Below are 24,878 nucleotides of genomic sequence, written 5' to 3'. Positions count from 1 at the left end.
CTAAACAGCTTTGATTTTGAAGAACTGATGGGACATCAGGGAGAAAAGACCAGTAAGCAATTGGACGTTCTAGTCTGGGACTGGTGAGGTGAGGAGGACCTCGCACAGGGTGTATAGAGTGAGAAGTGAAGAGTTCCTGGGGAGAAAATGTCAGCTAGTGTTTGGCTGGAGTGATGGTCTTAGGGAAGCGCAGGGAGATCCAGGAACATCGCTTTTTTCCCCCCATTCTCTGTATTCCTGGGTTGACAAGTAGGGATTAAATATATTTTTTAACCCTCTTCATTTACTATCAGATTATTTATATTTTTATTTCTCAAGGACTTTAAATTTATGAAGTTTACAAAAATCAGTCATACCACTCTAATCTACCTTCTGCTCAGTGGAGGCGTCAAGCAAAGGATGGGTTAAGGGTACTCCCCTATAATCAATATGATCTTCTCCATTCTTAGATGTGGAAATTGACACGTTATCGAGCATATGTAAGTGCCATACCATTCCAACTTTACATACTTCTCACCACCCCTGCTGCACCTCACCTCCCTAATAACACTTCTGGGACCGTGGTTGCTTTAAGATCAGCTGACTTTTCCCTCAGTGATTCAATGCAGAATCCTCAGTAAGTAGAGCATTCCTTTTGATGGCTTTACTAATACCCAGATCTCGTAGTTCTTTAAATCCCTCAACTAAAATGACCTTCATCTTCATTTCACTTTGGCTGTGCACACACATGCCACACCTAATAGATCTGCTCCACTTTGAATATTTCAAACTCTATTAGTCTCCTCTTTGAAATAGCCTTCTAACTTCTACCTGCCCCATCCATGTTTCTCCTCAACCTGTCTTCTCTTCCATTCCTTGTTCCATTCCTTGTTCTGTCCTTGTTTTCCAGTATGGGAAGATAGGGGAGGGAAGAGGCTGGCAACTCTCTTCGAATCCCTGCTTCCGTACTCAGCCCACAACTATTCAGATGGTTCAATAATGATTGTGCTTACCCTGCAGACTTCCTCACATAGTATTCTTTGAGAATTTCCAACTCAGGTTCTTTTCCTGTTTTTTTCCCCGACTGTTACGCTCAGGCACCTGGGCATTGTTAGTAAATTTCATAAAAACTGGGACAATTGGATCAATAAATGTATGTAGAATAAAGAAATCTATCAGATCCTTCCCCACGCAGGGGAGGGGAAGCTTAGGGCTGTGTTGAACTCAAAAAAACAAAAAAAAAGGTCTATATTTCATTTTAGTTACATCTCAACTAGCTCTGCCTATGTGAATATTTGTATGTGTGTCACCTGATAGTGGTCAGAAATTTGGGTCCTTCATACCTTTATTTCTATTAGAAAATCAGCCTTTGTACCCATTTTTTTTCCTTACAGGTATAGACTTGGTAAAATCTTGATAAAAATTTTCTGCACATATTTACTCTATTTGAGTTAGGAACTGGACTGTGTGAATGCTTTTTCTTCTAAGCCATGAGTGATATTTATTTATTTTATTTTTGTCAGTTGTTTCCATGGTTCATGAATTCTTTATTATATATAGTAGGAGTCATCAACTGGATGGAGAATCATTGAAATTGTAAGTTTAGGACATTAGTTGGAATAACCTGAACAATGTGCTTACCTTTTGGGCCCTTAATTTAATTTAAAATTAAATGAGTCTTATGATGGCAAGCTTCACAGATCTGCCTGCAGGGCTTTCAGAATGGAAATGTGTGTCTCTGTGTGTGGGAGGCTCTTTTGTTTAGTTGGAAAGGCTAGGAAATCTTTGCCTAAAAACACTCATTGTTTAGAGAGCATAAATAACTGAACATAATGTTAGTGAGAAGTTTAATTTGAGATTGAACCACTGACTTCCAAGAATATAGCAGAGTGAGTGGAAGTGCTATGAACAATGTCTTCCTTATTTCCTTTAAAATGCCCATGAAATTGTCTCAAAAAAACCAAATCCCCAGAAGTAACTACAATGAGTGGCAGGCACTGAGCCCATTCTAGTTTCTGGAAGGAATTTTTACATTCTTTCCTGTAGTTGAAATCAGATGGAGTTGCCGTTTCTTCACCAGGCCCCCCAACCTGCAACCTGATTCCTCCTCTTCACTTCCCTGTTTCAGCCACTAGTCATGGAATCCTGCTCAACATGTACCCTGTACCCTTTTGTTCATGTCCAGTGCTGCTGAGTGTTAGTTGATTCTGTAACAGCTGCTAACATGCTCCTTCTTGGGTGGAGGTGGTTCTCATTGAACTGACTCCTGGCTCCCACCCAGGTTCTGGGCTGGTCTGTGAATTTAGGTGCTTGAAAGTCAAGAACCAGGATTTGCACCTGCTTCCAATCATCCTTTGGCTCCACTTTGAACACAAGGGCATCTGCAAAGACGTCTACATGCGGTCACTAGTGTAGGATTTTCTTGTCTCCTCCATTAGACTGAGCTCCATGAGGGTGGGGAAGGAAGAGATGAGGGTGGGAGTATATTCCTTCTCACTGAATCCCCAACACTCAGAATAGTACTTAGCACATGTTGGGTACTGAAGACACGCATCAAACTCATTAATGTAACTCAATCGTTGGGAAGGACTTAAAAGCAGTCCTGAAGCATGGTAAGCACTAAAGGCCAAGGTCAAACCAAGCCCAAGGATGTAAAAAAGAAATGAAATCACACATTATAGATGAATAATTAAAACAAAATTCTGCAGCTCCAAAGCAAAGAAATTGTAGAGATCTGCAGCAATATCTTTCTGAAACAATTTTCCTTTATGAGACAGTTATAAAAGCTGTGCTTTGTAAACTCAGTAAGATACCTGAAGAGTTTACATCTAGTAAATGAGAACTTTAAAAAGAATAAAACGAAGTGAAAATTATAGTAGATAAAATAAATCTCCATTGTAAATAAAAAGCTGACTGTACTTAGAAAATTCATCCAGTTGATATGGACAGGAGGCAGGGAAATACTGGGTAAAAGAGGGTGGTTCCCTGGCAAAGGCCCCACTCTCAAGCCCAGAAACCCATGGCTCTAAATGAGAACAGGACTTCCTGTTTTCACACCCAAATGTTCTCTTTTGGCCTGCTGCACCCCTCTATCCTGTACCCATATAAACCCCAGACCCTAGGCTCCACAAGCAGAAGAGCAGAGGAGCAGAAGAGCAGCAGTGACGTGGTAGAGAAGGAGAGAAGAGAAGGAACATCTGAACACCGAGAGGAGTTCAGCTGGGGATAGCTGGAGAGGAGATGGTCCATGGAATGGTCAAACTCCAGAGGAAGATCATCTTCCCGCTCCATCTCCTTTCCGGCTCCCTATCCATCCTGCTGAGAGCCATCTCCATCCAGCAATAAAATCCTCCGCATTTACCATCCTTCAGTTTGTCTGTGTGACCTGATTCTTCTTGGACACTGGACAAAATCCCAGGTACCAAGAGGGCACTGAGCTGGTTAACACTTAAGCTGTCTGTGGACAGCAGAGCTAAAAGAGCACTGTAGCACACCCACTGGGGCTTTGGGAGTCACGGGCACCCAGCCCTAGACGCTACTATGGGATCAGCTCCCAAAAGTGCTCTCCCCGGCTCCTGCACCTGCCCTTCTGTGTGCTCCCCCTCCCATAAGGTGTTAGAGCATGCAGCAGCCCAACAGACGAGCCACACCCCTGTTGCATGTCTTGTGAGGGGGGTCAGGGAACTCTCCCGTTTCATAGTGATAGAGGATAGACTTCAAAAAAATGCCCAGACTGCAACAAAAAAGCCTAGAAAGACACAGATCCAACCTAAAACTGATGGAGATTATTGTGGAAGACACAGCAAAACAATCCACTGTGATAACTATTGGAGGGACATTTTTCAGTTCTAAAAGACCTGATCTTGGGTACTGATATACCACACTACATTCCAGGTACACTTTCTAATTATTAATCAACATTGAAAAATATTCAGATTTTTTTTTCTAACTAGAAAACTTGCAGGTAGAGTAAGGAAGTATAAAAGTGCTAAATTATTTGTCCTTCATTTAAGAGAGACTAAAATGATCTTTTGGGATTATGTTGAGAGTAGTTAAGTGGTGGTTGAAAGTTTAATAAAATTTATTTAAATTTAATAGTTCATTAAAATTTATTGAAGGTTTATTAAAGTTATAAAAATAACTAATAGAAGTAAAAAACAGGATGCCCATAAAAGTTAATATAGAAAACAGAATCAAATAAAATGCCATAATCTCATCCGGCTACAGAGAAACAGAACTGTTCTTCTTTCTTTCCTTGTCTCTCATGTACATCTTCTTACCACATCCCATAAGATATACTGACAACTTTCTTAGGGACTTTTTTAGCCCACTAAAAGTTCTTTTGTCCCCCCAAAAGAGATTGGATTCTATATATATATATATGTATATACATATATATACACATATATATATACATATATATACACATATATATACACATATATATATAGTGTGCGTGTGTATATATATATTTATATTTAGATAGTATATAATTAATTTGACTCATAAAAATTACAACATTCCTTTCAAACAACTCTGTGATGTAGGCAGACAAGGGAATTTAGCACATAAGGTATTGCCTTGTCTTTTTGCAAAAAGTATGTGATTCACCTGTCATGGTGCATGGTAGGCACTAAAGAAATACTTGTTGAAGGAATGAAGACATGTATAACTTAACTAGCTATACACTTGGAAAATGTAATTTCATCTACAAACAATAACTTTATAAATAATTGCACTGTTTCTCGCCCATTAAATTTACTGTGAAATCTGGACAAAACATCTGTCATTATGTAAGCCATGGAAGAAATGTTGAGATTAGCATGCAGTAATGAACATGGTAGTAAATGCTGGGGAAGGCAGAAATCAGAAGAGACGTAAATAAGTCCTAAGTTTTAGGCCCTCAAAAGGTTAATTTGGATTTTCGTTCTGGGTGTCTTCATATCAGAGAGACTTGGCCAATCTGATATAAAAAAAAAATCGGAGGTCAACAGAAGTGATTAAGCAGCTAGGAAAATTAACTCAGAAAGAAGATCTTAGTATATAATTTGGAAAAAGGATTTGAATCTCTCAAAACCCAGAGAAACAGAAGGATAATTTAGAATGCTTTGTAGAGCGGTAGAGCTGATGGCATAAAATGAAGCAGAAAAAAATACTGAGTGTAAGACAGTTCTTAATAGACAGACAAAGAACCATATAGCATTCCAAAGAAGGTAGTAAAGTTGTTTTGATAGAATCTGACACCCCAAAGACAGACAAGCGCTAACATTTATTGAGTACTTACAATGTATCTGGTACTCTGTATGCATAATTTCATTTAATCTTGCAGTAATCTGTGAAGTAGGTACTAATACAATCTTCACTTTACAAATGAGGACACTGAGGCTTGGTCACATGAGGCTGGTAGGAGATAGTGCCGTATTTTGAACTCTTGTTCTAGAGTTCAGTCCACATCACTATACTCTCCTGCCTTCTAGTCATGAAGTTGGGTCTCAGTAGGTGTGTTGTGTAGAGGTTTGACAGAATAACCCAGCTGGTTTTCCAAATGCTGAATAGGTGATTCTAACAAGCCATTTTAATTAAGTTAAAAAAAAAACTCTTATGTATTCCAATCAAAAGTGTACTTTTTGTTCAGTCTTCTGGATGAATGAATCCTTGCAGAAACAAGATTTGTATATGAAAAAGCATTCTTAATGCAGATTTAAAATAAACAGGTATTAGGCTCCTGGACCCGATAGAGTGAGCAGCATCCCGCAAGTGCCAGCCTTGCAGGAGGTTTTATCTGCTGGAAAATTGGCTGCATGGTAGTGTATAGGGGATTGGAGAGAGAGGCTTGGGTCGAAATTCCTGATCTGCCTTTCATTTGCTTATTACCTCAAGTAAGTCACCTAACCCCTCTGGAAGTAACAACACTGCTTATGTCATGGAGTAGAGAATCTGACATGATAGCGTATATGTAAAGGTAGCCTGCACATATGCAAATTAGATAGTATGCATGTAAAGATGGCAAGTAGATAAGATAACATGTATATAAAAATAGTATGTATGTTTTTATATGTAAAATGTTTAGCTCAGTGCCTGACACATAATGAATATTTGATTAATAGTAGCTGGCATTATTATTATTTATTATCCAGATACAATCTTCAAGTAAGTACTTTAGAAAGTATAGCCCGGTGGTAAGTTTTAAAAAAGATTCTAATTTTATACAGTCCTCTCAGATAACATATTTGATAGTAAAATTTCACCCTCTGTGTACCCTTTTCACAATTTGGGAGTTTACCGAATGCTTTGGTGTTTTAAAGGCAGTCGTTTGTTCACTGAAAATGCAGCTTATGACAAATTCAATGGTTGCCAAGCTCTAATATGTTAGCAGGCAGAAGCATGCTTTTAATATTCATCATCTTTAAGTGCTACCAACTGACATTTAGTACTAAATGTGCAGATATGGGTGCTGAGCAAAACAGAGCTAGGAAGAGGACTTGCTAATTTGTATTCTAGATGGAAATCTTAAATTAGTTTCTGAGATTTTTAAATGGATTTTTAAATGCTGGGCACATAGGAAATTGAGTTCATATTAATATTTATAAGGTTTGAGAAGATATTTAGTGAAATATTTGTATAATTTAATTTTGGTCATAATCAAGTAGTAAACCATAACAAGAAGGACATTGTACTTTAGTCTGGTGGCTGTTTTGTGACTTAGGAATATCCTTCTGGAAAAGCCCTGAATGACACACATACACATACATACATGCTTCAAAAGTTCTTCTTTATTAGAACCCAGAAACCAGAGGTTATTTATATATAAATACCTTGGGTTGGATTGTTTTGTGTTAATTTTAAGTTAATTAATTTAGAAATCAGTGTTGATAATGATTTCTTTAAAAGCATTTATTGACAGTTCTGCAGAACTCTATAATCTAGCTGCTTTTATATTCTTTATTATACAGAACAGCTCCGTTGGTTCATAGAATACCTGCTTCCTGTAGTTTTGCTTAGGGCTAATTGAGTTTAATGTAGTTTTGTGTGCAGAAGGTATTGACTTGTGCATAGTATTTAATTTGTGTAAATATGTGTGTATGTAATGTTTTGCCCCTCTGAGTTTTATTTTAAATGTAACCCTTGAAACTGGGATAATAGAAATTCTTAGCCTAGGCCTGCTAGCAATTGCAGGTGCCAACGGTTTAAACTGCTGTAGAAATACAATTATGAGCAGCCAAGAGCAAATCTTGTTTTAAGGTCCATGTGTAATGAATGCCTGTTAGTATCATAGAATACAATTAAAAAGAGGTTTACCTCTCCTAAGCTGTGATTGGTTCTTTCTGATGGAAGTGTAGAGTCCCATGAGTGGACTGTGTATTCAGCTCTTGGTGATTTAGACTCCAGTGAGCCTGGCATTCTGCAGGCTTGGATAAATTCAGGGCAGTTATAGTCAGGCAGAGATGAGAAAAGACTGAAAGATTAATGAGGGAGCTTAAAACAAAGCTTCAAAAATGAGAGCAACACACTGCTTGGTCTTATGTAATTGTGCCGAGTAGAAGTCAGTCTTGGCTGCTGTTGTTTAAAAATTTTAAGAGGTTGGCAGAAAATATTTGTTATAAAAATTGTATCTTGAGAATAATAGTGAAAACCTAGGACATAAGATCTAATTCTTGGTTGCTTGTGTATGCCCTCCAAGACACACCCTTCTCTTCATCCTGCTTTTATTGCAGTTTGACCAAGCACCCTGCTTTCCTGCTGCCCCCCACCACTTCTTTTTGGCAAGGACCCTTATTGATGACTGATGTCCAAGCCCTGGCTGCCTCCAGGAGATGCACGTCTGGGACGTGCTCCTAGAGTTCACGTTGATGCTCTCTCACTACAAGGCCTGAAAGATCGGGAGCATATAGAGGTGTGAGAGCCCTCTGGGGAGATAATCTAAGGGATTGTTGGTGACCTATGGCCATTTCTGGTTGATGGTTTTAAATAGCAGTTGGTTAACATTTCTTCTATAGAACTTAAGGGATGCTAATGGCTTTAAAATGCTATTTTGCCTTTGAAAATCCTCTTAATAGATGCTCTAACGAACCTTCCATTTACGTGATAGGCACGGTTGAGCTCTGCAGTGAAGCTGTTCATACTGTTAATGTGAAGCTGGGCACTTAAAGGGGAAAAAGCAGCTCATAAATAACGTGGCGCAGGTGAATCACTTCTGAAATCTAGAGCTTGCCAATACCAGTGAAGAAGAGCTGCCTTGGAGGAGAAATTGCCAACTCTCAAGCAAATTCTTCAGCGCTTCAATCTAGACACACACCAGCCTTTTAACTTTGCTTTCTGTTTCCTCTTCAAGGAGTTTGTCGCCACCTACAGGAAACAGGAAGCACAATAACCCACTCAGTCTCTGAGTGACACCTGGTTTCTTCCATTGGTCATTCCTCATCGCAGTTTTTATACATTTTATCACTTGTTCATCATATAGTATTTATCAAGCTTTTTTCTTGGCTATGGAATGAGGCTAAGGTCTATGGAAGAAAAGGTTCTATCTGCACTAGCTGTTTGGCAGGAGATTCCTCACCCTTAATTGCTTTTTAAGGTCTCTGTCTGTTTCTGCTGTCATGTTCTTTTCCACGAACACACCAACAAGAGAGAACAGACTTACCGATTGGGGCTCTGTAGTATATAGCATGTAAAAGTACTAGTGCTGACTTACTCACAATTTTGCCTTCTTTTGTTTGTTGGAGAGAGCATGGCACCAAAATCATCATTTTTATTGTTGATGTTGTTGATTTTGTTTTCTTTTGCCTTATTTAGAGAAAAATGTTAGGTAGTTAAAAACCTACATAGCAAAGAAAGTTCAAGATGCATGATGCAGTTCAGAGAAGTCTAAAGGAAGACATGTGATTACTTTTACGGGTACATTAAGGGTGTTGAAGAGATAATTAGAATCAATTATTTTCATTCATTAGCATCTCATAACTATATCACTGAGTTAAGTTGTTCCCCATTGTTTGAAACAAGAGTGAGTTGGCTTGAAAGGAGTTAAGAAGAATGCAGGGTTTTTCTCCTTCATATATGAATGCCTGTGGCTCTTTCTTTTTCCCACAGCATCTTTAACCCAGATCCTCTCCTGAACTCCTTCTGGGTTCTTTGTATGGCTATCTGCTTCTCCTGGAACAGCAACTTAACATATCCTAGACCAAGTCCATTGTGGCCCAAATTAGATTGATCCCACTTTTTTTTTTTTCCTTTTTCGTATCTCTCCTCTTAAAAGAGCAGCAGAAACCACTGCCACATAATGAATCCTCCTTCAGAATATTTACGTTTTGTTTTGTTCTCCTTTTCCTCCTCCCTCTTCCTTTGGGCAAGCGATACTATAATCATCCACTGTCCTAGGAAATAATTCTTAGTTATCTTTCTCAGTTCAACACCTCTCTACTACTAAGTCCAAATAAGTTGCTTTACCTTTGTAACGTTTCGTGAACTTCCTTCATCTGAAACTGAATCTGTGCTTTATTCTTCTTACCATCATTTCATCATCTTGAATTTTCTGTAACTCAACCTCTTCCGCATCATTTAGCTCCAGAAATTCTTACTAGTTGACTTTTAGTAGATTTGGGAAATGGGCTGTTGGCTAGAAAGAGCTATCTAATCAAGTGAAATTTCACCCATCTACTTTCCCTGCACCCCACTTCCATGTTTATGCTGTGGAATTTCAAGACTGGTTTTAGATATTATCTTAGAGTTTTTATTTAAACATCAAAAGTAACTTAGGGTAAGAAAATACATCAGTGGCTTGTTGGGAAATGTCACACAGTGCTGGAAGATTATAGATACAATATTTTATATATTTCTACCGAATAGTTGACTAAAAGTTGCTCAAAATTATAATACATTTATCTAAAGAAGATAAACACATCATCAATAAGCATGAAAAGATGTTCAATGCCATTAGTCACTAGAGAAATGCAAATCAAAACCACAGTGAAGTACCACTTCAGACCCAGTAGGATAGCTAGAATTTAACAAGAAGACAATAACAGGTGTTGACAAGGATATGGAGAAACTGGAGCTCTTATATGTTGCTAGTGGTAATGTAAAATGGTGCAGCCAATTTGGAAACAGCTTGACAGTTCCTCAAAGTGTCAAGCATAGAGTTACCAATATGACACAACAGTTACACTCCTAGTTATATACCCAGGAGAATTAAAACGTGTCTGTGCAAAACATGTACATGAATATTATATTATTATTTATAATGTAATGCATTATATTATTAAGCAGGGATGATTCATAATCAAAAAAATGGAAACAATATCCAATATCCATTTATTGATGAACAAACAATATGTGGTATAGCCAAATAACAGAATATTACGCAACCATTAAACAGAATGAAGTACTGATACATTCTATGACATGGATGAGCCTTGAAAACATTATGCTAAGTGGAAGAAGCCCAAAGGCCACATATTTTATGATTTCATTTATGTGAAATCTCCAGAAAAGTCAAAAGCTATAGAGACAAAAAGTAGATTAGTGGTTGCCACGGGTTGGGATAAGAGGCGAACCAGAAGTGACTATCAGTGGATATAAAGTTTCTTTTTGGGATGAAGAGAATGTTCTGAAATTAGATAGTAGTGATAGTTGCACAACTCTATGAATATATTCAAAGTCATTGAACTGTACACTATAAACAGGTGAGTTCTGTGATATATGAATTATATCTCCATAAAAGTGTTATATATACTTGACATAAGACTATATCTAATGAAGTCATTGGCAGCTGTATATGCTTAACAGCCTGCGTCAGATTCATTTTTGTGTCTTCCAAAATGCTAAACACAATGCCTTGCATATGTAAGCCTTTGATAAATGGTTGAAGAATGAATGAGTGGATGATTGAACAAACAAATTCACGAGTGGTCTTGTTACAGTGTGTGGAAGGATTGTTTTTGGCAAGTGCTACAGGAGAGAGGTAAAGAACAATGGCCACGAATTGAAGCTTCTGTCCTCCTGTTCACTTAGGCTGACAGTTCAGCTGTCCTGTCATTGATCTGATGTCAGTCTGATAGAATCATTCTGTGCTTTGACGCCAGCTAGATGGTATATTTCTTTTTTCTTTTGAGTGATAGGTTGGCAAAATGTACTTTAGCGACTGTATGTTATGTGGATGATGCATGATGCCAGTGCTCTGTTGTGACCTTTATTTTTATGAGCTGTGAGAATTAAGAACCTACCAGTTTTAGTTTAATTAAGCAGTAAGACACAGCAGATGGTGCATTTGTGGGTGATGATTGCATTCCACTGGTTTCCTCAAGCAGCACTCTAACCCTATGGAATGCTTTGCCTGGAGTATCACGCCACTGTTGCAAAATTACCAGGAAGACAAACACATTGTAATAATGTAGTCAGAAAATCTTGGAGGACAGTTTAGAAAAGGACCTGAACTCCACAGGAGTTTTAGTAGTTAGCAGCTACTGGAACTAGGATATTAAGGAGAGGAATCCATGACATAACGGCTGTAGCCATTTACTACCCATCTTTACTTTCCAATATTTGCAAATAAAGTATATGAAGATTTTTATTACCCTAGTATTCTTTCGTGTAATCTGGGTCAAACATTAAAAATGCATTGGAATATGATTTGCATGTATTAAAGTGCTCAGAGAAGTTTCAGTAAATGGAGAAATACTGAATTGATGTCAGGTTGTTTTATTATGTTTGCTTTTAGTCACTACAGAGGGCCTAGAGTGTCCTACAAAATGCATTTTTCCCCAAGTACTGTGCACTTACCACTAGCATATTTACTCCATAGGATGTTGAAAACATACCTAAGCAGAGATAATATAGAGTTAATCCAGTACTTCTTACCAATCTTGCAACTCTTTAGGAAGAAAACCAAATTGGTAAGTAGAATTACTTTCATTGTTAAGGGATAGACTGCCTAGGTCAGATTCTTTTCCCTTTACTATCTTTGAAAAACTGAATTACTTGAAGGCTGGCATAAAACTTACAATTGCACAATATTTTAGAACCTAAGATAATATGCCTCAATTTTTCTCATTAATGCAATATATGAAATCATCAAAATGAAATACATTCACTTACTGGCTGTAATGTTGTTAAAAGTATGAACTATGTGGATTTTACAAAATATAGCAATGGTTGCTTTAGATAGAATAATTATTTATCTCATGTCTTTGCTACAAAGGAAGACTAGATTTGGAATTCTAGTAAAATAATGAAATTCAAAAATAATATTTTAACAGGAGAATATAAATTCTCTTTGGAAAAACCCACATTTTATATTGATTTTTCCCCTATATTACATAAGGAATCTCTTTCCTTCTATTTTTAGGGGTATTTTCATCACAAAAACATGTGACTACATCATCCTTCTGCTTGGAGACCTGACTTATATTTAATTAAATGAAACTTTTTTTTTTTCTGGATTCCCACCAACTTCAGGATACTCAAGCATTGAAGATAAAACTGTAGGTCTAAACACTAATTCTGCAATTCTTCTTGTAGGAATAAAACATTATTAACCTTTTAGTTAATACTGGTTTATAATACAGTATAGGGAAATACTATAAACACCTATCTGCATAGGAAATTCAAAATAATAACTGATTTTATCCTATAAATTATTCAAGATTCTGACACAAGAAATTGCAAATTTTATTTATATGGAAACATGCTTTACTGCAAAATCATTGGTATTTCATTTCTTTATAGAACTAGATTTTCATCTAATTAAAATTTAGAAAAGTGCTCATCATGGTAGCTCACATCTGTAATCCCAGCACTTTGGGATGCCAAGACGGGAGGATTGCTTGAGCCCAGGAGTTCCAGACCAGCCTGGACAACATAGAGAGACCTCGTCTCTATAAAAAATAATTTTAAGGAAATTAGTCAGCCATGGTGGCATGTACTCCCAGCTGCTCGGGAGCCTGAGGTGAGAGGATCGCCTGAGGCCAGGATTTTAGGCTGCAGTGAGCTATGATCGCACTACTGCACTCCGGCCTGGGTGACAGAGCGAGATACTGTCTCTAAAAAATACATGAATGAATGAATAAATAAATAAAGTTTAGAAAAGATGGAACTAGATTGTTTCCCGTTTACTCAGCATATAGGTAACTTGCCGATTTTTTTGTAGCTCTGTTTAATAAAAATACACTACAGAATCTCCAAATAAGGCCCCAACAGGAAGATAAAATTATGTTTGATAATTTTAGGGTTGTTAGGATTATTTATTTTAGTTCTCTAAAATTGGTAAGATGTTAATTCTTCATCATCTACATGGTTTATCTAATGGCAATACCTTTTTTGAATGATGCATTTTTGCATTATTTTTGTATTAGAGGAAGTAACAACATCTGTCAGGATGTACATAAACCAATAATTGACAATCTGTACCTATAGCCTCAATTGCTCCCTTGAGCAGTCTGGCCCTTTTTGTTAAGATCATAGAATTTAGAATCAAAGAACTGCCTTCAGTTTCTGACTACGTGACTTATTAGCCGTGTGACTGTTTATTTTAGGAGTACTTTTTGGCTCCCAAAGAATTGGCAGGGTACCTATATAATGAGTAAATGGGAATATAATTCTACCTGCAAAATCACCAAAATAGTGATTTAAATAATGTTTTTTAAAACATTATTTAAAGTAGAAAGAAGTGGAGAGATGGGCAATCCAGGGCACGTATGGTGCTTCCACAAAAATCTTGAATTCAGCCTTCTTTTTTCTGCTTCACCATCCTCAGTTGGTGACTTTTTTACTGATGGTCATCTCATGGTCCAAGATGGAGTTTTTGCCAGTGCTGCTGCCTGTTAGGCAGCAGGAAAGACAAAGAAGAGCTGCTTTTGGCACAACCAGTTTCTTTTCCAACCCACGCAACACTTCCTCTTAAAGCTCATGACCTAGATGTGAGGGAGGTAGGAAATGTTATCTTTACCAGGCACAGCTTAAAAAGAGGGGTTCTGTTACCAAGGACAGAAAGAAGAATGGATGTTTGTGAGGCAACTAGCATTCTCTGCCATAGTGACCTTGGATCCTTTCATCTCATTGAGCCTCAGCATTCTTGTCTATAAAAAATGGTTGTAAAAACAGGATCTAATTCAAGATCCTATTGTTTTGAGTATCAAGTGAGTTAATGCATATAATGCATTAAGCACAGTGTCTGGCATATAAGTAAGCAATAAATGTTAATTATTATTCTTGCTACTTCCTTAATATCTCTAGGTTAATGTCCTATAGATACTTAAAATGCTTATGTGTATTACAGATCCTTACTGCATTACCTAGCTCACCACCTACCTATTCCAACAGGCTGGAAACCTCAGAGCAATCTTTGAGTATGTCTTTATTGCTGTCTGTACCTAAAAGTCATCAAGTATAATTCTGCCTGCAAAATTCTTCATGGATTTCTCAAACTTGTCCCTCCATTTCCATTCCCGTATCTGAATTCAAGCCGTCATCTTTCCTTGCCTTCTACCCGTCTTCACTATCTACAAGATCACATCCAAACTCCTTAGAATAGTATTCATGTCTTCATGTAGTCTGATTGAAGTATTAAAAGCTTAATCTTGATTCCGCCACATCTCCCTAGTCTCCAGATCACACACTTCTTGTACTCTAACTTCACTGAAAATTCACTATTCCCCAAATAGGACATTATGACTCTAGTTTCATCTTCAGGGTAAATTTTTACGAATTTTCAAGTTGAAACTTGAGGAAACTAAGCATAGATGTGTTTCAGCCTATAATTTTGAACATTAGGATGTGATTTCTGGAAACTCCTTTGTGATTTTATTTATGAGGCCAACAGATGGACAGGTATTCCAGTATTTCTTATCATAGCTGAGTATCTAAATGTATGAATATGAAAGAACGAAGGGCTTTTAAGTAAAAGGAATGGATGGAAGGGAATTGATGCATTTCTAATGGATGGGTTAGTTTGTTCAGCAGTTCTGAAAGTATAGGTTTAGATATAGAGACTCATTATTTTTACTTTGCTAGACAGTAGCATTAGTTTAGGTACTTAATGTGAATGTTATGTACGCATTTTGCTTTCAAATTAAAAAAAATAAGTAGGGAAGGTTAGCTTTACTTTTATTGTGTGTGTGTGTGTGTGTGTGTGTGTGTGTGTAGTGTGTAATAGGATGTATAATGTAATTTCAAAGCCCTCTGATGCAATATTTTGAAACTAAGTTGGTAGTACAATTAAAACATATCTTTGGTCATAGATTACTTGGCCTTATGCCATTTTCATAGGCAATGTCCTACTTATATAGCCTGGATTGGCTGAGAAAAATAATTGCTGCTATGAAATAATTTTGCAATTACCACTGTAATTAAGGGCAGTTTGTTAATGAAAGTGCTTGGTGAATAATGACTGCAGGGCACTCCATCTTGCAGCTTCATGCCAGATGATTGGTTCATGTGGTGGAGGTAGTTAGGGAATTAGTGACACAGCTGTCATGGTTACAGGATGGATGTAAATATCCTTTGCAGTTGATGATGAAGAACAGTCATTAGCCTCCTGCCCCTTGGGAACTGGTCAGAGGAACAAAAATAAACTTAACACGTGATGGTAAAAGCCATTCCTTATGTCTCCTTTTCTTCAGTATGAACAATTAACGTTCTAATAGAAGCTGCAGAGAGCATGTGGATGAACCCTCTCCACTTTACAGGCGTGTTAGTGTGATAAATGTTCCTTCGTGTAGGGCATTGGTTGTTCACAGTTTATAACCACTCTTATTAGCTTATAGGCCAGTTAAAAACTGCTCTTTAGAGACCCACAGGCCCTATTTAAATTTTTCGTGTTCATCTCCAGGTGTTGTGTATTCAGTTTGACCCTTTAAAGACTGTCCACGGTTGGATTTTTGCATGCTGTCTGCAAGGCTGCAGGGGCAATTGAAGATCAATTTTCTGTATCTGGGCTTACTTGCTTGTGTAAAATATATATTGTTATGAAGAAGACCTAGATGCTTATCTGATCCTCCTTTATAGTTTTTAAAAGTCATTGAAGGTTGAGGAGCCGTTTTTTCCGCCTTCTTAAAATAAATGTCCTAGGTGTTTAAGTGTGCTTCGTATTTATATTCATTCCACTTCCTTGGTGTTTTGATGTTGTTTTTCATTGTAAATTTGCTTAAGCAATCTTTTGTGGAGTAATTTCATAACATGCACACACTGTGGTTTTACATTGAGTTGCTCGTGATCTGCAATTCATTAACTTTTGCTGACTAGGAAGTCAGTATAGCACGTTGCATTTTCTCTCACTTTATCTTGCTATATAGTCAGTTTTATTCCTTGTAAAAGATGTTAGTAGAACACTTCCTTAAGATGGCTTCTCTTGCTGTCTCATATGCTAAATCTTTTCCTCTGGTCCAAGTCTTCTCAGGGCCTTAAGGAGAGATTTTTGGCATTTGTATCATTGCATTAGAGGTGACCAGATAGCGTCACTAAAGGAACATAACAGTTTTCTGGGTTTTAGCTCAAAATGACTATTCACGGTAACACTATACATTTTAAGGATGAATTTATTGCTGCTTGTGTCTGGATAAGATTCTTTGCATTTGCTGCTACTTTTGTGCCCATGTCTCCTCTTGGCTTTAGCAAGAGGAGGTGCCAAATGGAAGGATCGGAATTCCGCCTCGGAACTATCACACACTGTAGCCCAAACCTCTGCCTCTTCCTTTTCTATTCTTTGGCCATTGTGGAAAGAATGAAAACTATCAACAAGCTGAACAAGGTGAACAGAGCCTTGTTCAGATGTTTAAATGCCTCCTTTGCAACTGAGTTACTCACTCTCCCAAGATGAACTTTTCTCATTAGACATAGCTAACTCACTGTGGAGATGTTTCTAGCTGACTTGATTGTGATCAGACATTATAGGATGCAAGGTAATTGCTGACCCTAAATAGTAGGGGTGAGTCCCCCAAAGCCAAATAACTTGAAAAACCTTACATACTGAGCATTTTAAAAAATGTGTGTATCTTAGTCCAGTAAATGACAAAATCCTTTGGAAAATGGGCATTATTCTCAGGCATGTTCATGGCTGGCCAAATTATTTGGGTTTTGGTGGGATATGACTCTCTGGAGACTCTTCGCAGGATGCCTGTCTACAGGAGGAGCTGGAATGCTCCATATTAAACCAACACCGGGAAGCAAGAGGAGAGAAGCATGCAGAAAACACCCTCCCAGTTGAATGAAAATTGCACTGTATTATGACTTATTCCCTTTTTAGCAAAAGTATGGGCTTTGTGGTAGGTCAAGATAACTAAAATGGGAAAGAAAGAAACAATTGTGTTTTTAATTCGTGTTGCTCCAGGTAGTGGGACTGAGAAACTTTTCCTCTTTTTCAGGAGAGTTGTGACACGCTATAGTATTTAGATACTCAGTTTGTGTTCCCATTTTTGTTTTGTTTGGTGGTGTTTTGATTATTCCATTTTTTTTTTTTTTGGCTAAACATATGTGATGTGTGTTTAATTGAATTTCCAAGGCAACGATACAGGCACCTGTCAAAAAGTATATTTAAAGATACACTGCAGGTTTTCTGGAGAGGTGGCCATGTGAATTTAACAATCTGCAATGAGAGGGGAAAAAAAAGTTTCTGAGTTTGTATAAGTAGTTGAGATTCCCAAGTAAAACAGAATCTGTTCTCATGCAGTTTTCTGGGCTAGTTTGGACAGGAGCTGGAATCTCATTTTTATACATTAACAACTCTTGTTGGATTTCTCTCATTTCTTCAGGACAAGTCAAAAACTTTGTAGTTCTCCACAATGAAAATGTGTCGTGTCCCATCCTGTCCTTTTGCCATCTTTTCTATCAAAGAAACACTAATTATAAAAATTGAACATAAATTTGTACTGTTTAATAGGTTTGGGTTTAATTTTGCCTCAGTGGGAAGACGTTTCCATTAAAAGAGTCCTTTTTTTTCTCTTCCTCCCTCCTTTTTCTTTTGGTAGAACAGTTAGTAAAGGCGTAGGAAATTGATTTTAGTGTCACAAAGGACATTTCTGACAGGGATGTACTTTGAAATGATTCAAAGCATCTGTTTCTCTTGCATATGCCTAGCACTGCTGAGAGCTGTACCTAGATTAAACTGTTTAACGTGTCAACTCCAAATCCGATCACAATTTACATCCCAGTTGCTTGGTTGGAATTTTTAACATTTCATGAACTTTCTCCCCTAATTTATGAAACAAGCTTCTGCTGAAAGTGACCATTTGTTCTAGATGCCAATATGTCACAGTCAAAATTGACTTAGCTTGAGAAGTTATTTGTTTTTGTATGGTCATTTTGCCTATGAAACAAAATCATCTTTGCAGTTTTTATTCCTGCTGGCAGGGTTTGTGAATGAACGCTTGGTGGGTGTTTTTGTTACCATTTGCCTTCCACTGGTGCTATGTCTGTCATACAAGCTGGCTCAGAGAATTCCAGTTTTAAGAGTGTCTGAGCACAGAAATTATGGGCACTCTGTTTACTACCATATCCATGACATCCAGCATAGTACCTTGGAAAGCCACCTAAAATAAATCTTTCATATACAAACGAGGAATGAGCACTTTCTACATAGTCATACTGCATAGTCTTAGTCATAGACTCTTGATTCTGAGGGCTCACTTATCTACTCTGCTTATGTTTCTCAGAAATTAGTAAGGCTCACTTGTATTACTTATAGTGAAGCATGTCCTTTGAAGTTGAAGGGCAGGGGCAATTATTTTATGCGTGTGAACTTTTTATATTCATAGAAGAAATAATTTACTGGGGATGAGAAGAAAAGGCAACCATGTTGATGCATAATAGGGACCCGAGCTCATTAACTTAATTGTTTAGTGGCTCCTGACTGTTCTTCTCTCCCCCAGTGTCCCCCCATGTGCCCTTTCACAGTATTTCCCCATGAGCTTTGAGTGAAGAATCCTGAGAAGGGCTTCTACTCTTGCCTTTCCCTCTGCTAATACGAGCATAGTGGTGGCGTTTGTACAGGTTTTCCTGGGGTACTAGTTCCCCAGTGGACTCACTTGTTGACCTTGAAGATGCATGGTCACTCATGACTAGTCAGTTGAGAACATTATCCATAATATTGTTATCAATATCTTGCATCTCTATCAGCAGTTCTCTGGGATTGTGTTAGTGAGGATAGAGAGCTTCACATTTACAATAGCTTGAATGTTTGGAAATTTTCTTACCTTCACTCACTAGTCTAGGGTGGGTGGTCCAGATCTATGGATGGGTTGGCTTCATCTAGTTGTTCAGTGACCTAAGTTAATGGCAGCTCTGCCACCTTTTGCATGTCACTCTGGAGGCACTCTGGTGTTACTGTTTCAGCTTCCCAGAAGGAGGAAGGAGAAAGTACAGGAGGAGCAACCTCAGGCACTAGGCTGGAAATGGCACACATCAATTCTGCCCACATGGAAAAGAACTTAGTCGCCTGGCTGACCCCGCTTCAGGGAAGACCAGGAAATGCAGAGGAGCAGGCCAGCCTTGTGCCAGGCTGCATGGAAGAAGAGGAAAATGGATTTAGTGGACAGTTAGCAGTCTCTTGGACCTTAGGTTTTTCCCAGTCAGTTAGCTGTCCAGCAGCTTTATATTGTAAAGCTAGTTGATCTTAGACTTTAAATAATATCTAGTACTATCTATGATAATTTCCCCCCTTTAGGTTTCTTTGGGTCCAAGCTATTTATAAATTGTACTAACTGGCAGAGCATTCAGCTTACCTTCTTCTGGTTAATGTCAAGGACTCAGTAGTTTGCACAGACATATTTTTACCCTTTGAAGTGATAAATTAACATTTGAATGGTTGCTTCATTTCCTTCCACTTTTTTATGTCTGGGACACATGGTAGAATAGGGACATTTTTGTAGATTTGTGATTTCTTCTTCATTTGGGAAGATATTGTATGTACTACTGGTATGCTAGTCATTCACTGTATAGGAAAACCCAGAAGGCATAATCACTGTTGTCTGCAAATATTATTATATAGTATATGCTGATGGTCACTGCCTAATGTAAAATTAGGTTTCCCTTCAGGATCTTTGTTTAGAAGCAATTCTTGAGGTGACATGAGAAATTGTTGCCAATATTATTGCTTGCTGCTTTTCTAGTTTTTTTTTTCTCCAAGGATCTAAAAAATCATTTACAGCATACTTTCCTCTGCTTTGATTAGATTTTAGAAACATTGTCTGATTTTCTGCTCACATTGTTTAGAGAAATTATACTCCCAGCCATCTCTTGGCTGCTTTAGGGTGAAATATATCAAAATCTTTGGACATTTTAACCTGTGGTTAGACTGGCTTTAGTCTCTTCTGCTACGTTCCCACAAACAAAGGGTTGTCAGAGTTCTTGCTATGCAATATATTCTATTTTTAAGGTAGGATTTAGATTATTAGTCATCTGATGTTTTAGGTGTTAGCACAACTAGACACTTAATTTTGGTTTTGTGCCAATACAAATCACCTGGAGTTTTATTTTTGGTAAGGTGGGGACAAGAAATCAATCAAGTGTGTTCTAAGCTCTTTGTTTTATGTAGAATGTAATTTTATTTTAAATATACTCTTCCTTGATATATCTTGTTGCTCTAATATTGATACGGCATGAAGTAGAAGTAGGTGTTTTTCCTGAGTATGATTTACTATAAGTCCTGTGATTTCAGCTATATTGAGGCTACTACTAATGGATTAGTACATTCCAGCAGTGTATTTATTTAGCATCCTACCCTCCGGTAATCAAAACATGAGATGCTTCAGTGTAGAATTGCTTGCTAGAGGTGATGGAGAGAAAACACACCTCTCTAGTGGTGATATTAGTCTGTTTTAACTGTCTTGTGAATGTGCTTAATGTCTAGGGCATGTTAAATTGAGTTATCCAAAAATAGAGTCCCTGAAATTTAAATAAAGCGGCATTGGAGCAAGAAACTAATCATTCTTTTTCTGGTAGTTAACCAATTGCCACCTTTCCCGGCTCACTTATTATAGCAGCTCCTATGGCTGTCACTACACTGTCACATTGTTCTGTAATACTCTGTTTACATTTCTCTCTTCTGTACCAGACTGTGAGCTTCTTGTAGGACGGGAATGTGTTGTATTCATGTTCATGGAACTCCTAGTCACTAAATAGTTGATGAACAAATTAAAAGATGAAGAAACATATTAAATACATTGAGTAGGAAAATCTTATCCTTGTGCCGATAGGTGAAAACTAATCTGATGACATTCCTTTAAAGTTTGGACAAATAAGTTGGTATTGGTGATTTCTGGATATAGGGAATCTTTTTGTTGCCCATCACTGCTCATCTGATTAATCTTAGTTTTCTTAAAAATCAAGAAAACATACAGATACCATGTATATTGGTCTAAAATGATAAAAATGATAACATGAAAAAGAGAGTTTTCCTCACTGAGGTGTCTCTGACTTTCTGCAAGCTCCATGCCCACTCTCAGCCTGTTTTCCCATCTGTCAAACTGGGGGCATAATGGGACTTAGCTTTTTGGGACTGTTGGGAGGCCTGAATGAGATATATTTGACCCTTGAACAACATGTGTTTGAACTGCGTGGGTCCATTTATACCTGGATTTTTTTCAATCAAACATGAATGGCAAATATAGTATTTACGGGATATGAAACCCACGGTCTACACTAGGGGCAGATTTTCCTATCCTCACATTCTGCAGGACCAATGGCAGGACTTGAATATGCATGGATTTTGGTATATGCAGAGGTCCTGGAACTGAACCCCTGATGATCCCCGAGGGATGATTATATTTTGTGGAGTGCTTAGCCCAGTGCCTCACACCATAGTAAGCTCCCAACAAATGTTAGTCATGACAATCATGAGGATCGTTGTAGATTTTTTCATTTCCTGAGACGTCTTCCATGATTATTAAATCTTTTAAAAATTTTTATTACCTATTTGTTGTTGTTTTACTTGATTTTACTGTTAAATAGTTCATTTCGACAGAAATCGTCAAATAGTGTCTTTCATTACCATGACTAGAACTCAGGGAAAGTTAGGATAGCTATCTACAGTCATGGAAAACAGGAGATAATAAGATAATCTTTCTCTCTCTTTGTAGGGATATCATATCACGAAGTAGTTGAACTATGTAAAGTAGTACTTGTTTGTTTATCCAGCATGTAATGCCTGTAACAACAAATAGAATCTCCTGGTATCAGATGGTTCTGAAAGCTTGCACAAAACACTGAAATGATAAGATGCCACAGACTTTTATGTTACCCACAAATATTACTCTTCTTTTTTCTTCATTTTAAAGTGTGTATTTCTGGGTCAGACACTGAAATGTATTTAAGCATTTCTCTGCTAACCTTTTATTGAAGCAGGTATTTGTTTTCTATTCTTTCTAAGATCTAGTGATGAGGTGCAGTGCCACCTCACTTATCTGGAGGCCATGTATCAGATAACCTCAGCTACCTGGAACACAGCTGCGGCTTAGGAGTAAACCAGAAAGGCCTCCAGCTGCCATAGGTGTCACACAGTCTTTGCATTAAGGCCTATGCACACTACTCAAAGAAAAGCCCCGGGGTTTCACCGACAGCAAATCTGTCTTAATTTTACAATCCTGTAGAACTTGTTCAAAATCTTATCTGTCTTTGTTATCTTTTCTCCACCCCCCCATACATACATGGGAACTAGAAAATTTGAGGTTTGAGAGGTACAGAGTTGGGGGGTGCTGCTAGATACAAGTAGGCTCAAGTAGCATGAAGAATTCCTTGATAACACTTAGCAGGATGCAAGTGTTGACTTGAGTCAGCAATAATGGTAAAATTATTATTTTTTTCACTCTGTTTAAGAAGGCAGGTACTCTATTAACTTCTGGAATATTTTCATCAATATAATTTAATTAAAAACTGTCATGATGATTCCAGATAAATTGGACATTTCCATTTTCTCTGTTATTTCTGGCTATTTATGAAGTTTTATAGGCATAACCTTGACCTTTTACTTATGAATATGTTTCCTTTACTTGCCTTTCCCCATCGTGCATATATGATTCTTTCTTACCTTTATTTTTTTCCCATCGAAGGAATAAAAATAAACATTTAGGTAATAGAGAAACTTAACAAGTCTTGAATAGTACATTTGCCAAAGTTGGTATTTTTAGTTTGTACCATGCCATTCTGCATTAACTACCCCATCTCAAATACTAAAGAACAACAGTAAACCCAGCTGTGTCAGCATCTGCTTTCCCTCCATGACTGGATTTCTAAGCATGAGGCTAGGGATTATTCTCGAGTATCAGTAGAATTTAGCACCATGCTATGCACATAGAAAGTGCTCAGTAATTCTCACAGCAACAGTTATTTGAGATAGATATTGTTGTTATCCCCATTTATAGGTGAGGATGTGGAGGTTCACAGAGATTGAGTGACTTGCCTTAAGTCACACGGCCGGGGGATAGAACCGGAACTAACATCTCACGGCTGGCCCTTTAGTCCATGTGTCTGACTGTCCTAGATGCAAACCTCACTGCTTAGCTTCAAGAAAAGCTCGGCATTTCTGGATTTCCCATTTCAGTTCTACATAACATAAAAACAGATACGTGTTTCCTAACTGACAAAAAGTAAAAGAAAAACAAAGGACTGATTGAAATCCGTTATTAAACTTCTTTGAATGATTGAATTGGCATAAATACCTAGCTCAAAGAAAATGAACCGTTTTAAAAGCAGTAATATTTCACGATACTTTTTTCCCCAATTCACCTATTCTTTTCATTTTTACTTTGACAGCATTCTTGGCTTGTATATTAAAAAGCCCATGGGTTAAAGCTAATCTTATATGTTTAAAATTATGCATTGACAATCTTTCTTTTGGTTTTCCTTTTCTAAACTTTTTTGGAGCGTTGACAACTTTAAAAGAAATGGCATGTTTCTTTAACCTTAAGAACATTTTATTTAAATTTAGTCACTGGTTTGGAGAAAGAATAAACAGAACTTTTCATTTAAATGTTCTCATATCTTGGAAGAATGAATGGGTAGTGATATGATTTATAGCTTGTATAAGAATAAAGAATATAAAAGAAAATTGAAACCCCAAATTATTGGTTTCAGCAGAGCATTTCTGACTTAATTCTAAATTGTGAATACCATTTACATCTTGCTTAAATGTTTCTTGCCAGTTTGTAGAAGCAAATCTCTACCTTTTGTGTAACACATAGTTTAACTGAATACTCATTGTCTATATAGATAATTTAAAATTAAGAGAGGTAAATCATCATTCATATCTAGCATAGTGCTTCAATAAATATTTGTTGATTGAATAAATGAATAAAATAAGGAAGGAAAGGGAGGGATGGAAGGAAGGGAGGGAGGGAGGGAGGAAGGATGAAGGGAGGGAGGGAAGGAGGGAAAGAGGGAAAGGAAAGGAAAGGAAAAAGGGAGGGAGGGAAGGAAGGAAAAAAGTAAAAGATTGCTGTGTTACTATTATACTGTGTGTAACAGGAATAGCACTCACACTCTACAGAAAAGTTGTTGGTACCATAGATATCTATACCTTTCTACGAGAAAACTAAAATGTGAAAAATAGGTTACTTTGTGAAAAAAATCACTCTAACACTACTGTTTTGCAGACGTGCCATATCACAGATCAGCTTTGCATGAAATGGAAATTATCTTGCATTGTCTTCATTTAAAGTTTTTCTAGTATATTTATTGAGTAAAAAGACAGATAAAGAATTAACAGTGGTTACAATTTCTGTATATATGAAGCATCTACCACTGCCTTTGACTTAACCCTTTTTATGTCTGAGCTTCAATCATGAGGTTTTCAAAAATTATTTCTAGAAAGCAAGTTGGGTTTCTTCAATAGACAGTGGAGTGTTTTGCTCCAGAGTACTGAAATATTCTGTTGTGATGTTGGAAACTTTCACCAATTAAGGACAAAAACCTTCTCATAG

The 24,878-nt window shown here is 37.3% G+C and overlaps 1 protein-coding gene across 6 annotated transcripts in view; it reads left to right on the top strand.

Annotated features, from left to right (window-relative positions):
• Positions 1-24,878, top strand: part of CADM1 (cell adhesion molecule 1) — a 335,180-nt gene that overhangs the window by 171,320 nt on the left and 138,982 nt on the right. The gene's annotated exons all lie outside the window — the stretch shown is intronic.

The sequence above is a fragment of the Homo sapiens genome, chromosome 11 (assembly GCF_000001405.40).
Source record: "Homo sapiens chromosome 11, GRCh38.p14 Primary Assembly".
NCBI lineage: Eukaryota > Metazoa > Chordata > Mammalia > Primates > Hominidae > Homo > Homo sapiens.
The sequence above is the reverse complement of the archived record's forward strand: the minus strand, read 5'-3'. Positions and strand labels throughout refer to the sequence as shown.